The 15812-nt window shown below is 37.7% G+C and overlaps 1 long non-coding RNA gene across 1 annotated transcript in view, besides 1 other annotated feature; it reads right to left on the reverse strand.

Annotated features, from left to right (window-relative positions):
• Positions 1-15812, reverse strand: part of LINC00639 (long intergenic non-protein coding RNA 639) — a 167544-nt gene that overhangs the window by 54234 nt on the left and 97498 nt on the right. The window lies entirely within an intron of this gene.
• Positions 4966-6165: an enhancer, noted in NCBI's record as "CDK7 strongly-dependent group 2 enhancer chr14:39277742-39278941 (GRCh37/hg19 assembly coordinates)". NCBI's record gives its function as "activates an origin of replication core promoter dependent on BRD2, BRD4, P300/CBP, MED14 and CDK7 cofactors, with strong dependence on CDK7, by STARR-seq in HCT116 cells {active_cell/tissue: HCT116}" and the evidence as "EXISTENCE:reporter gene assay evidence [ECO:0000049][PMID:35650434]".

The following is a 15812-nucleotide window of genomic DNA, read 5'->3' on the forward strand; positions in this document are numbered from 1 at the left end:
GAGTAGCTACATTTCTATCAGACAAAGTAGCCTTTAAGAAAAAAAATTTAAAAAGACAAATAAGAGCATAATATAATGATAATGGGATTAATTCAGCAAGAAAATATAACAATTATAAATATATTCACACAACACAGGAGCAACAAGATATATAAACCAAATATTACTAGTGCTAAAGACAGGGATAGACCCAAGTAAGTAACAGTTGAGGACTTCAACATTCCTCTCTCAGCACTGGACAGATCATTTAGAAAGCAAATTAACAAAGAAGCATTGAATTTAAATGGTACTATAGATAAAATGGACCTAACAGACATTTACAGAACATTTCATTCAACAGCTGCAGAATGCATTCTTTTTATCAACACATGTGGAACCTTCTCCAGGATAGATCATATGTTAGGCCACAAAACAAGTCTTAACAAAATTTTAAAAATCAAAATCATATTAAGTATCTTCTCAGACCACAGTGGAATAGAACAATATCAATACCAAGAGCAACTTGGGAACTTTTGTAAATACAAGGAAATTAAACAACATGCTCTTTAATGACCAAAGGATCAATAAAGAATTAGGAAAGAAATTCAAAAAATTATTGAAACAAATGAAAAATGAAACACAACATACCAAAATCTATGGGATGCAGCAAAAATGGTACTAAGAAAGAAGTTTACAGCAATAAACACCTACATCAAAAAAGGAGGAAGACTTCAATAAACAACTCATGTGCCTCAAATAACTAGAATATCAGGAACAAACCAAGCCCAAAATTAGTAGAAAGAAAGAAAGAGTCAAAGATCAGATAAGAACTCAATGAAATAGAGACAAAAAAAATTTACGATATCTGAGACAACAAATATTTAAATATTTGTTGATATTTTAGATATCAACAAAATTGAGTTGTTTTTGAAAATATAAACAAAATCAACAAGCCATTAGCTAGACTAGCTAAGAAAAATTGAAAGAAGACCCAAATAAAGAAAATCAGAAACTAAAAAGAAGACATTACAGCTGAACAACAGAAATACAAGGGGACTACTATGAACAACTCTACTCCAATAAACTGGAAAACCTAGAAGAAATGGATAAATTCCTGAACTCATATAACCTACCAAGATTGAGCCAGAAAGACATGTTTAAAACTTGAACAGACAATAACAATTATATCAAATCAGTAATAAAGTCTCCCAACAAATAAAAGCCCAGGACCAGATAGATTCACTGCTGAATTCTATCAAACTTTTCAAGAAGAACCAGCACCCGTCCTCCTCAAAGTATTCCAAAAAAAAAAAAAAAATTGAAAAGGAGAGATTTCTCCTTAACTCATTCTATGAGACCAGAATTACCCTGATATCAAAACCAGACAAGAATACAAAAAGAAAACTACAGGCCAATATTCCTTAACACAGATATAAAAATCCTCAAAAAATACTAGCAAACCTAGGCTTGGTGCAGTGGCTCATGCCTGTAATCCCAGCACTTTGGGAGGCTGAGGCAGGCAGATCACGAGGTCAGGAGATCCAGACCATCCTAGCTAACACAGTGAAACCACGTCTCTACTAAAAATACAAAAAATTTTCCAGGCGTGGTGTCGGGCGCCTGTAGTCCCAGCTACTCGGGAGGCTGAGGCAGGAGAATGGTGTGAACCCGGGAGGCAGAGCTTGCAGTAAGCCGAGATTGCACCACTGCACTGCCTGGGTGACAGAGTGAGACTCCATTTCAAAAAAAAACCAACATATATATATATACATATATATATATAAACCAACATTAATATATATATATATTAGCAAGCCAAATCCAACAGCACATCAAAAAGATAACACAGGCCAGGCGCGATGGCTCATGCCTGTAATACTAGCATTTTGGGAGGCCGAGGCAGGAGGATCACGAGGTCAGGAGTTCAAGCATACAACATGGTGAAACCCCATCTCTGCTAAAAGTACAAAAACTAGCCAGGTATGGGGGTGCGTGCCTGTAATCCCAGCTACTCAGGAGGCTGAGGCAGGAGAATCGCTTGAACCGGCGAGGCAAAGGTTGCAGTGAGCCGAGATCATGCCACTGCACTCCAGCCTGGGCAACAGAGCAAGACTCCATCACAAAAATAAATACATACATACACGCATACGAGCACAGCATGGTCAAGTGGGATTTATCTCAGGAATGCAAGGATTGTTCAACATACATAAATCAATAAATGTTATGCATTGCATCAACAGAAAGAAGGGCAAAAGTATATGATCATTTCAATAGGCACATAAAAAATATTTGATAAAATTCAACATTTCTTTATGATAAAAACCATCACCAAACTTGGTATAGAAGGGGCATAACTAAACACACAGAAATGGCCATATGTGATAAACCCACAGCTAACATCATACTGATTGAGGAAAAGGTACAAAAGCCTGGACTTCAAAATCACAGGCAAATGAAAGCAAAAATATACAAATGGAAGCATATCAAACTAAAAATTTCCACATAGCAAAGAAAACAACCAACAGAGTAAAGAAAAGAGACAGTCTGTAAAATGGGAGAAAATATTTACAAACTATTCATCCGACGAGGGACTAATATACAGAATATATAAAGAACCCAATAACTCAACAGCTATAATAATACAAATCATCCAATTAAAAGATGAGCAAATGATCTGAATAGACGTTTCTCAAAAGAAGACATACAAATGGCCACAAGTATATGAAAAACACTCACATCCCTAATCATCAGAGAAATATAAATGAAAACCACAATGCAACATCATCCCACCCCAATTAGAATGGCTATTGTCAAAACGACAAAAAATTACAAATATTGGTGAGACTGCAGAAAAGGGGAATTCTTATACACTGTGGGTAGGAATGTAAATTAATACAGCCATTATGAAAAACAGTTTGGGGGTTTCTAAAAAACAATTAGAAATAGAACTACCATACGATCCAGCAATCTCACTACTGAGTATTTATCCAAAAGAAAAGAAATCAGTATATCAATTTTCTACACTTCCACGTTTATTACAGCAGTATTCCCAATAGCCAAGATATGGAATCAATCTAAGTGCCCATCAACAGATGAATGCGTGAAGAAAACTTGGTATATATACACAATGGAATACATTCAACCATAAAAAAGAAGGAAATGCTGTCATTCACAGCAACACAGATAAGCCTGGAGGACATTACATTAAATCAAGCACAGAAAGATAAATATCTTTTATAAATAATAAACCTTTTATTTTGAGGTAATTGCAGATTCACATGCATTTGCCAGAGGTAGTTTAGAGAAGTCTGGTATATCCTTCACTCAGCCTTCCCTTGCACATCTATACAGTTGTCCCATGATATCTGCGAGGGATTGGTTTCAGTATCCTCACAGAGAACAAAATCCAAGGATGCTCAAGTCTATTAAATAAAATGTTATAGTATTTGCATATAATCTACACACATCCTCCCATACACTTTATATTTATTCATAATCCTTTCCTATTATTTTTAGTTGACATGTATTAGTTGTTTATGTAATAAGATTTTCTTCCTAGGAGAAAATCTAAGGAATACCATTCAGGACATAGGCATGGGCAAAGATTTCATGAGAAAAAGGCCAAACGCAATTGCAAAAAAAGCAACAATTGACAAATGCAATCTGATTAAACTAAAGAGCTTCTGCACAGCAAAAGCAACTATCAACAGAGTAAACAGACAACCTACAGAATGGGAGAAAATTTTTGCAATCTATCCATCTGACAAAGACCTAATATCCAGAATCTACAAGGAACTTAAATTTACAAAAAAAGAAATTAAAAAGCGGGCAAAGGACATGAACAGACACTTCTCAAAAGAAGACATTCATGCGGCCAACAAATATATGAAAAAAAGCTCACCATCGCTGATCATTAGAGAAACACAAATCAAAACCACAATGAGATGCTATTTCACGCCAGTCAGAATGGCTATTAATAAAAAACCAAAAGACAACAGATGCTGGTTAGATTGTGGAGAAAAAAGGAATGCTTTTGCCCTGTTGGTGGAAGTGTAAATTAGTTTGACCATTGTGGAAGACAGTGTGGTGATTTTTCAAAGGCCTAGTGACAGAAATACCATTTGACCCAGCAATCCCATTACTGGGTATATACCCAAAGGAATATAAATCATTCTATTATAAAAACACCTGCACACATATGTTCATTGCAGCACTATTCACAATAGCAAAGACATGGAATCAACCTAAATGTTCATCAATGATAGACTGGATAAAGAAAATGTGGTACATATACACCATGGAATACTATGCAACCATAAAAAGGAACAAAATCATATCTTTTGCAGGGACATTGATGGAGTTAGAATCCATCATTCTCAGCAAACTAATACAGGAACAGGAAACCGAACACCACATGTTCTCACTAATAAGTGTTAGCTGAATGATGAGATCACATGGACACATGGGTGGAACAATACATACTGGGGCATGTCAGAGGGTGGGGGTAGGGAGGAGGGAGAGCAATAGCTAATGGATACTGGGCTTAATATCTAGGTGATGGGATGATCTGTGCAGCCAACTATTATGGTGCACATTTACCTCTGTAACAAACCTGCACATCCTGCACATGTACCTCTGAACTTAAAATAAAAAATTGAAAATAATAATAATAATAGTAAATAAAGAGATTGCATTCCATCATGGCAGATGGGAGGCAGGACAAGATTGCAGCTGTGACACGGATGAATACAGCAGCGTGAGGAGGTCCGTATTGTGAATTTTAACTCCAAAACGACCACAGGAATAAATCAGAAAACCCGATAGGATCCACAGATCCTCTTAAGGAAGTGGATTGCTCACGCAGGACCCAGGAGGCACCCCAAATACTGTGACCAAACTGTGGAAGTGGGAAAGGGAAATCCTCCTTAACCAAACACACACTCCTACTGGAGAAACTCAAGGCCTAGTTTGCAGAAGATTCCAACCTTAACTGGAGCCAAGTCAATTTAGAGAGCCGAGTGAAATACAGGGGTAGAGGAAGCAGCAGCAAAGTACCTGTGAGCTTCCCAAGCAGGCCATTCCTGCCTGACACCACAGGGATCCTTCAGGAGGGCAGCCAGAGGCACAGGGAAAATGCCACAGGGAGAAGAAAATCTCCAGCTGAACTTAGTAACAATTTGAACTGGCTGAAAAGCCTCCTGGCCAGAACTCGAGGAAGGGTGGGAATCCCAGCGTGCAGACTCCACAGGCGGGGGAAGAACTAAAGCCCTACTTTCTTTTCCAGCTGGGAGGTGGGTAGCCTAGGGCAGGTTCTCAGCCCTGCTTGCTTACAGCCTGGAAACAGACTCATTGCTGTCAGTGGGGCACTGTGGGAGTGAGACCGGCCCTTTGGATTGCATGGGAGCTGGGTGAGGCCTGTGATTGCCAGCTTTCCCCCACTTCCTTGACAACCTGCATGACTCAGCAGAGGCAGCCATAATCCTCCCAGGTAAATAATTCCATTGACCTGGGGAGCTCACCCCATCCCCCACAGGAGCCACAGCAAGACCTGCCCAAGGAAAGTCTGAGCTCAGACAGCCTAGCCCTGCCACCACCTGATGGTCCTTCCCTACCCACCCCAGTAGCTGAAGACAAAGGGTATATACTCTTGGAGGTTCTAGGGCCCCGTCTACCACCAGTTTCTCTCCATACTACCACAGCTGATGCTCCCTGTAAAGCGCCACCTCCTGGCAGGAGGCCAAACAGCACAAAAATAGAGCATTAAACCACCAAAGCTAAGAACCCTCACAGAGTCCACTTCACTCTCCTGCCACATCCACTGGAACAGGTGCTGGTATCCACGGCTAAGAGACCCATAGACAGTTCACATCACAGGACTCTGTGCAGAAAACCCCAGTACCAGGCCAGAGCCTAGTAGACTTGCTGGTGGCTAGACCCAGCAGAGAGATAATAATCACTACAGCTCAGCTCCCAGGAAGGAACATCGTAGGAAAAGGGAGAAAGTACTACCTCAAGGAAACACCCCATGGGACAGAAGAATCTGAACAATAGCCTTCAGGCCTAAACCTTCCATCTGACAGAGCCTACCCAAATGAGATGGAACCAGAAAACCATCTCCGGTAATATGACAAAACAAGGCTCTTTCACAACCCCAAAAAATCACACTAGCTCACCAGCAATAAATCCAAACCAAGAAAAAAAACCCTGATTTGCCTGAAAAAGAATTCAGGAGGTTACTTATTAAGCTAATCAAGGAGGCACCAGAGAAAGGCCAAGCCCAATGCAAGGAAACCCAAAACATGATACAAGAAGTGAAGGGACAAAATTCAATGAAATTGATAGCATAATGAAAAAAAAATCAAGACTTCAGGCAACTTTAGACACACTTATAGAAATCCAAAATGCTCTGGAAAGTCTCAGCAATAGAATTGAACTAGTAGAAGAAATTCAGAGCTCAAAGACAGGTCTTCAAATTAACCCAATCCAACAAAGACAAAGAAAAAAGAATAAGAAAATATGAACAAAGCCTCCAGGAAGTATTGGATTATGTTGAACAACCAAAAGTAACAATAATCAGGGTTCTTGAGGAAGAGAAATCTAAAAGCTTGAAAAACGTATTCAGGGAAAAAATTGAGGAAAACTTCCCTGGCCTAGCTAGAAACCTAGACATCCAAATACAAGAAGCACACAGAAGCCTGGGAAATTCATCACAAAAAAAATCATCACCTAGGCACGTTGTCACAAGGTTGTTTAAAGTTAAGAGGAAGGGAAGAATCTTGAGAGCTGTCCCTCCCCCAGCCCCCCACTCCCCAACAGGCCCCAGTGTGTGATGTTCCTCTCCCTGTGTCCATGTGTTCTCATTGTTCAACTCCCACTTATGAGTGAGAACATGTGGTGTTTGGTTTTCTGTCCTTGTGGTATTTTGCTGAGAATGATGGTTTCCAACTTCATCCATGTCCCTGCAAAGGACATGAACTCATCCCTTTTTATGGCTGCATAGTATTCCATGGTGTATATGTGCCACATATGGAAAGATACAGACTTTTCCAGACAGACAAAAACTGAAGAGAATTCGCCACTACCAAGCCACCACTACAACAACTGCTAAAAGGAGCTATATGTCTTGAAACAAATCCTGGAAATACATAAGAACAGAACCTCTTTATTGGGGGGAAATTCACCCCCAATATTTCACATAGGTTCTTTTCTATTTTCCCTAAGTGTCGGCTGGTCTGAGAAATAAAGGGAAAGAGTACAAAAGAGAGAAATTTTAAAGCTGGATGTCCAGGAAAGACATCACATGTCAGCAGGTTCCATGATGCCCCCCAAGCTGCAAAACCAGCAAGTTTTTATTAGTGATTTTTAAAAGGGGAGGGAATGTATGAATAGGGTGTGGGTCACAGAGATCACATGCTTCACAAGGTAATAAAATATCACAAGGCAAATGAAGGCAGGGTGAGATCACAGGACCGGGGCAAAATTAAAATTGCTAATGAAGTTTTGGACACACATTGTCATTGATAACATCTTATCAGGAGACAGGGTTTGAGAGCAGACAACCGCTCTGACCAAAATTTATTAGGCAGGAATTTCCTCATCCTAATAAGCCTGGGAGTGCTACAGGAGACCGGGGTTTATTTCATCCCTTATCTACAACTGTAAAAGACAGATGTCCCCAAAGCGGCCATTTCAGAGGCCTCCCCTTAGGGACACATTCTCTTTCTCAGGGATGTTCCTTGCTGAGAAAAAGAATTCAGCAATATTTCTCCTATTTGCTTTTGAAAGAAGAGAAATATGGCTCTGTTCCACCCAGCCCGCAGGCAGCCAGACTTTAAGGTTATCTCCCTTGTTCCCTGAACATCGCTGTTATCCTTTTTTCAAGGTGCCCAGATTTCATATTGTTTAAACAATTTGTGTAGTTAATGCAATCATCACAGGGTCCTAAGGCAACATTCATCCTCAGCTTACAAAGATGATGGGATTAAGAGATTAAAGTAAAGACAGGCATAGGAAACCACAAGGGTATTGATTGGGGAAGTGATAAGAGTCCATGAAATCTTCACAATTTATGCTCAGAGATTGCAGTAAAGACAGGTGTAAGAAATTGTAAAAGTATTAAAAAATTTGGGGAACTAATAAATGTCCATGAAATCTTCACAATTTATGTTCTTCTGCCATGGCTTCAACCGGTCCCTCCGTTCAGGGTCCCTGACTTCCCACAACACCTCTTTAAAGTATAAATCCCACAGGACCTACAAAACAAAAATACAATTTAAAAAACAAAAAACAAAAAACCAAGGTACACAGGCAACAAATAGCACGATTAATGGAATGGTACCTCACATCTCAATACAAACGTTGAATGCATATGGCCTAAATGCTCCACTTAAAAGATACAGAACTGCAGAATGCGTAAGAATTCACCAACCAACCATCTGCTGCCTTCAAGAGACTCACCTAACACATAAGGACTCACATAAACTTAAAGTAAAGGGTTGGAAAAAGGCACTCCATGCAAATGGACACCAAAAGCAAGCAGGAGTAGCTATTCTTATACCAAACAAAACAAATTTTAAAGCAATAGCAGTTAAGAGAGACAAAGAGGGACATTATATAATGGTAAAAGGCCTTGTCCAACAGGAAAATATCACAATCCTAAACATATATGGACCTAACACTGGAGTTTCCAGATTAATAAAACAATTACTAGTAGACCTAACAAATGAAATAGACAACAACACAATAACAGTGAGTGACATCAATATTCCACTGACAGCACTAGACAGGTAATCAAGACAGAAATTCAACAACAAAAAAATAGATTTAAACTATACCTTGGAACAAATGGACCTAACAGATATATACAGAACATTCCATCCAACAACGGCAGAATTCACATTCTATTCAACAGCACATGGAACTTTCTTCAATTAGACCATATCATAGGTCACAAAATGATCCTCAATATATTTAAGAAAACTGAAATTACATCGAGCACTCTCTCACACCACAGTGGAATAAAACTGGAAGTCAACTCCAAAAGGAACCTTCCAACCCACGCAAATACATGGAAATTAAATAACCTGCTCCTGAACAATCCAATGATCAGGAGCAAAAACGAAATCAAAGTGGAAATTAAAAAGTATTCAAACTGAATGACAATAGTGACACAACCTATCAAAACCTCTGGGATACAGCAAAAATGGTGCTAAGAGAAAAGCTCACAGCCCTAAACACCTACATCAGAAAGACTGAAAGAGCACAAACTGACAATCTAAGGTCTCACCTCAAGGAACTAGAGAAACAAGAAGAAACCAAACTCAAACCCAGCAGAAGAAAGGAAATACCCAAGATCAGAGCAGAAGTAAATGAAATTGAAACAAAAAAAAATAGAAAGGATAAATGAAACAAAAAGCTGGTTCTTTAACAAGATAAATAAAATTGATAGACCATTAGCAAGATTAACCAAGAAAAGAAGAGAGGAAACCCAAATAAGCTCAGTAAGAAATGAAATGGGAGCTATTACAACTGACACCACAGAAATACAAAAGGATCATTCAAGGCTATTATGAACACATTTACACACATAAACTAGAAAACCTAGAAGAGATGGATTAATTCCTGGAAAAATACAACCCTCCTAGCTTAAATCAGAAATAATTAGATACCCTGAAATAACCAATAAAAAGCAGTGGGATTGAAATGGTAATTTAAAATTACCAACATAAAAAAGTTCAGGACCAGATGAATTCACAGCATAAGTCTACCAGACATTCAAAGAAGAATTGGTACCAATCCTATTGACGCTATTCCAAGAGAGAGAAAGAGGGAACCCTCCCTAATTCATTCTATAGAGCTAGCATCACCCTAATACCAAAACCAGAAAAGAAAATAACCAAAAAAGAAAACTACAGACCAATATCCCTGAAGAATATAGATGCTAAAATCCTTAAAAATATACTAGCTAATTGAATCCAATAACATATCAAAAAGATAATCCACCATGATCAAGTGAGTTTCATACCAGGGATGCAGGGATGTTTTAATATATGCAAGTCAATAAATGTGATACACCACATAAACAGAATTAAAAACAAAAATCACATGATCATCTCAATAGATGTAGAAAAAGCATTTGACAAAATCCAGCATCCTTTATGATTAAAACTCTCAGCAAAATTGGCATACAAGGGACATACCTCAATGGAATAAAAGCCATCTATGACAAACCTATAGCCAACATAACACTGAATGGGGAAAAGTTGAAAGCATTCCCTCTGAGAACTGGAACAAGACAAGGATCCTCACTCTCACCACTCCTCTTCAATACAGTGCTGGAAGTCCTAGCAATCAGATAAGAGAAAGAAAGGGAATCCAAATTGGTAAAGAGGAAGTCAAGAATTCAACCCCTTTTACAATAGCTGCAAAAATAAAATAAAATACTTAGAAATATACCTAATCACGGAGGTGAAAGACCTCTACAAGGAAAACTATGAAACACTGCTGAAAGAAATCACAGACGACACAAACAAATGGAAACACAACCCATGCTCATGGATGGGTAGAATCAATATTGTAAAAATGACCATAGTGCCAAATGCAATCTATAAATTCAACACAATTCTCATCAAAATATCACCATCATTCTTCACAGAATTCGAAAAAACAATTTTAAAATTCATAAAAAGAGCCCACATAGCCAAAGCAAGACTACGCAAAAAGAACAAACCTGGAGGCATCACATTACCTGATTTCAAACTATACTGTAAGGCCATAGTCACCAAAACAGCATCGTGCTGGTATGAAAACAATCACATAGACCAATGGAACAGAACAGAGAACTCAGAAATAAACCCAAATACTTACAGCCAACTGATCTTTGACAAAGCAAACAAAGATATAAAGTGGGGAAAGGACACCCTTTTCATCAAATGGTTCTGGGATAAATGGCTAGCCACATGTAGGAGAATGAAGCTGGATCCTCATCTCTCACCTTATTCAAAAATCAACTCAAGATGGATTAAGGGCTTAAATCTAAGACCTGAAACTATAAAAATTCTAGAAGATAATGTTGGAAAAACCCTTCTAGACATTGGCTTTGGCAAGGATTTCATAACCAAGAACCCAAAAGCAAATGCAAAAAAACAAAGATAAATAGCTGGGACCTAATTAAACTAAAGAGCTTTTGCACAGCAAAAGGAACAGTCAGCAGAGGAAACAGACAACCCACAGATTGGGAGAAAATCTTCACAATCTATACACTGGCAAAGGACTAATATCCAGAATCTACAATGAACTCAAACAAACCAGTAAGAAAAAAATAAACAATCCCATCAAAAAGTGGGCTAAGGACATGAATAGACAATTCTCGAAAGAAGATATATAAATGGCCAACAAATATGTGAAAAAAAATAATCAACATCACTAATGATCAGGGAAATGCAAATCAAAACCACAATGTGATGCCACCCAACTCCTGCAAGAATGGCCATAATAAAAAATAAAATAAAAATAAAAATTTAAAAAAAACAGTAGATGTTGGCATGGATGCGATGAACAGGGAACACTTCTACACTGCTGGTGAGAATGTAAACTAGTACAGCCATTATGGAAAACAGTGTGGAGTTTCCTTAAAGAACTAAAAGTAGAACTACCATTTGATCCAGCAATTCCTCTACTGGGTATCTGCACAGAGGAAAAGAAGTCATTATACAAAAAAGATACTGCACACTTGCACATGTATGTTTATAGCAGCATAATTCACAATTGCAAAATCATGGAACCAACCCAAATGCCCATCAAGCAACGAGTGGATAAAGAAACTGTCATGTATATATGTGTGTGTAGATATAGATAGATAGATAGATATCTACACACACACATATATATATACACACACACATATATATGTATATACACACACACACACACAATGGAAGACTATTCAGCCATAAAAAGGAATGAATTAATGGCATTTGAGTGACCTGGATGAGATTGGAGACTACTATTCTAAGAGAAGTAACTCAGGAATGGAAAACCACATATCATATGTTCTCACTGATATGTGAGAGCCAAGCTATGAGGACCCAAAGGCATAAGAATGATACAATGGACTTTGGGGACTTTGGGGGAAGGGTAGGAGCGGGGAAAGGGATAAAAGTCTGCAAAGAGAGTGCAGTGTATACTACTCAGTTGATGGGTGCAGCAAAATCGAACAAAGCCCACTAAAGAACTCACTCATGTAACCAAACACCACCTGTACCTCAATAACCTATGCAAAATTTTAAGAAAAAAAATAAAGAATTATAAATAAATAAATAAATATAAGAGGTACTTTCAGCAGGTGGCCTCTTTTGGTTCCTTTGCTGTTCCACAAGGTGAACAGAGTCATGTAGGAAAACAAAAGCATATTTGAATGCTGACTATCATTTGTTGATGATGGAACTTTAGCAAATCAAGTAATCTCCCTGAGCCTCTCTCTGTTTTCTCATTTGCCTCATTCCTTTGTCTCAGTGACAAAGGAATCCTGCTTTTTGAAAGCTGCAAAATGCTAGAGAAATACTAGTTATTATTACTATCTGCTAGTTCAAAGTGTTCAAAGAGACATACATGATTTCTATGAACATACCAGAGATAACTTTAAGAAGAGGAACAATGGGTTAATCATCTAAATGATGTAGTGGAATATGAGGGGGCTAGAACCCAACTCTCCCAAAAAAGAAATAAGCCCATCCCTTACCCCTAGTATACCAAAATACTTGATATTCCATCACTGAAAATTCAATTTTCTCTAACAATTCAATTTCTCTAATAGTGTCAACACCTCAGGGCGAGCTTAGCTCTTATCACCGCATACCCGTATTTCATAATGCCTAACACAGAGTAGGTGATCAAAAAGTACTAGATAACCATGGAAAAGGGTTTGTCTCTACAAATTCCAAGTTTAAATTCCAACAGAATTGCAAGGTATGTTGAGGTTTTGTGAATCATTGACTCTTTAAATGGTTACCTACTGTAGTGGATGCTACAGTGCAATGCTCAGACCGCCACACCGGAGAACTGAAGCACACATTCCCATGGCTACAGGAGTGTTGAGTACCGGTGGTCCAGAGCTTTCACCTAAGTCCCTTCTTAGACTTGCCCTCAGCTAAAAAGAACCACCTCACCCAAAATCATACCTTCACCCCCACCCCACACAAGGGTATAAAGGCCCAGCTTTCATGTCTTAATTTGGGCCCATTCTAAAGGACAGTCCTACTCCAGAGCTCTCTGTGGGATCAGCTGAAGTTTCTGTTACAAATTCATCAACTTCTCCCTGTACCCAATCCTGCCTCCTTCACTCTCCAATAGGTGTTGATCCCTAGATCATTCCCAAGTAAACTTCCAGCATATAAAATATTCATCTCAGGGTCAGTTTCCTGGGAAAACTCACCCATGTTACCTATTCCTCCCATAAATACAGTTAGCTCTAATACTTCAGTTTTCAAAGAGCTTGAGATGGTGCAAAGGACACACATCCATTTCGATGAGTGAGCTCAAGTAAGAAACCATATTGGGAAACCAGGCCTGCCTTTTGTGCCATTAGAAACCTAATAACTATACCAGAAAGATGGTAATTATGGTCATGCTTTTACGAGAAAGCTTAGCTTTCATCAAACCTCTCAAATTTTTTCCTCTTATGATATATTAAGAAGACACCCAAGTTCTGAATTTTCTTGCTGTGTTTTATCAGGACAGCATGAAAATGCAATTGCTGATCAATAAGAACTAGTTTGTGGTATCTTTTCACACTGTCTCTTTGAGTCACTGGAATGTAACTGTGAAGCTGCTGGTATATTTTCCAAGCTGAGTTATTTGGCCAATGTAACTTTACACATCGAGTAAGTGTTAAAATTGATGGGAGCAGAATCATTTTTATTGCATTCTGAGAAAAACTATTAATTTAAAGGAATAGTTTACTAAATGTCATTTATTGCATTGATTTTAATCTATAACAAGTATATACATAAATTATACTTATTTAATTACATTAAAGAAGCATCAACACACACAACCTGGAAAATACTTGATGTCAAGGGACTACTGAATAGAGAACTTCACTATTTGTGTCATTTAAAGGCAACATACCTGGGATTCACTAAATTTAGTTCATTCATTTAACAAACGTAATTTGAGCCTACTTTGTGTATTACAACTCTGTACCATCTCAAGAATGTGAACAAAATGGAAATCATGTTTACTTTTACTTTGAAAGCATTTTGCCTGACAGAGTTTGCTATTCCTGTCAATCTGCTCAACAGTTTCAATCACGAAGTAATTCCAAACCAGAAGGAAAGATGAACAAATCAAGCTTTGTGGGCTGTCCATCTTTCATGACTTTTAAAAATTCTTAATGAGAACCAAATCATCACTGGCTCTGGAACTTTATTCTCTCTCTAAAATCTTAAAGGCTGGTCACTTAGACCCTCCTTCAATCTCCTTAGAAGATTTTAAAAATCCAGTAGGAAAATATATTTTTAACTTCACAGCCCTGATTGAATATTTTTAGCAGACTCAAATCTGGGTTCCAGCAAGGTAATTTAATGGTCTCCATGGTAAAAGAAATGTAGGGTTATTTTCTAACAGCATGGTACATTAAAAAATAAAAATTGTTCTTATGCTTGATGTAGTAGAAGATACAAACACTTTGATTACACTCAGTCATTACCTTTTTCATCTCTCTGGACAAATAAAATGTCAAGGAAATAAATATTTTCTATATATATATATATATATATATATACTATCATGAACAAAATGAAGATTTTATTTCCATAAAATATGAATAAATTTCAATTGAACTGGACAGTGTTGCTGAAACTTAGCCCAATATTTAATACAGAAATATGATCAGATGAGTTAATATGGATGAAAATGCTTGGTAAACCCAAAGAATTAGCAAAGATGTATGATCATTACTAATCAGCTGTGTGACTAATTTATGTGGTACCAAATAAGAGACTTTAAATTTTAGCTAGCACTGCAAAACCCATCCTGTAAAATCCTGCATACTTGAATCTGAAAATGATTGATGCTGACAAATTACAGGTTCTTTCTGAATATTCTTCCAAGAGTGATATATTTTCAAAACAAGTAGGAACCAGCCAGCTTAGAAGATGACAAAAACACATAATGTGTGCTGTTAATTGCTGACATTTACATAGAGTTGACACCAGATATCGCTTATGATAGCAATTACTAATAGCAATTTGCATATCCAGAGCCCATAATGAAATTTTGCTAAATTCAATTTTTAAAATTTTATTTTCAACCTTCATGCTAATGTTCTTTTTATTAATGTGAAGTATAGAACAAGGCTTCCCAACATTTTTTATTATACACATAAAAGCTGATAATGTTTGTAGCAGTTCCCTCCTGGCCACCCTGAGGAATGAGAGAAGTGACATTTAGGCACACCTAAAACCAAAGTGGGGTACTATCTTAACATGGTCAGTTTTGCAGAGATCATCTGTTCTATAGTTCTGTAATGCAGCAAACCATGCCAAGCAAAGAATAAGTCCTAGATCTTTATAATTAAGGTAAAATCTTATTATAAAAAAATCTTAAAGTTATTTTCACATTTTTATTGAGTTAATTACAATGAATTACATATAACACATGGTTCATGGCCATGTCAGTTCTCCTTGTTGTTGGGATCAAGCCCCCCAAAATCTGGCCATAAACTGGCCCCAAAACCGGCCATAAACAAAATCTCTGCAGCACTGTAACATGTTCATAATGGCCCTAACGCCCAAGCTGGAAGGTTGTGAGTTTACGGGAATGAGGGCAAGTAA

The sequence above is a fragment of the Homo sapiens genome, chromosome 14 (assembly GCF_000001405.40).
Source record: "Homo sapiens chromosome 14, GRCh38.p14 Primary Assembly".
NCBI classification, from domain to species: Eukaryota; Metazoa; Chordata; class Mammalia; order Primates; family Hominidae; genus Homo; species Homo sapiens.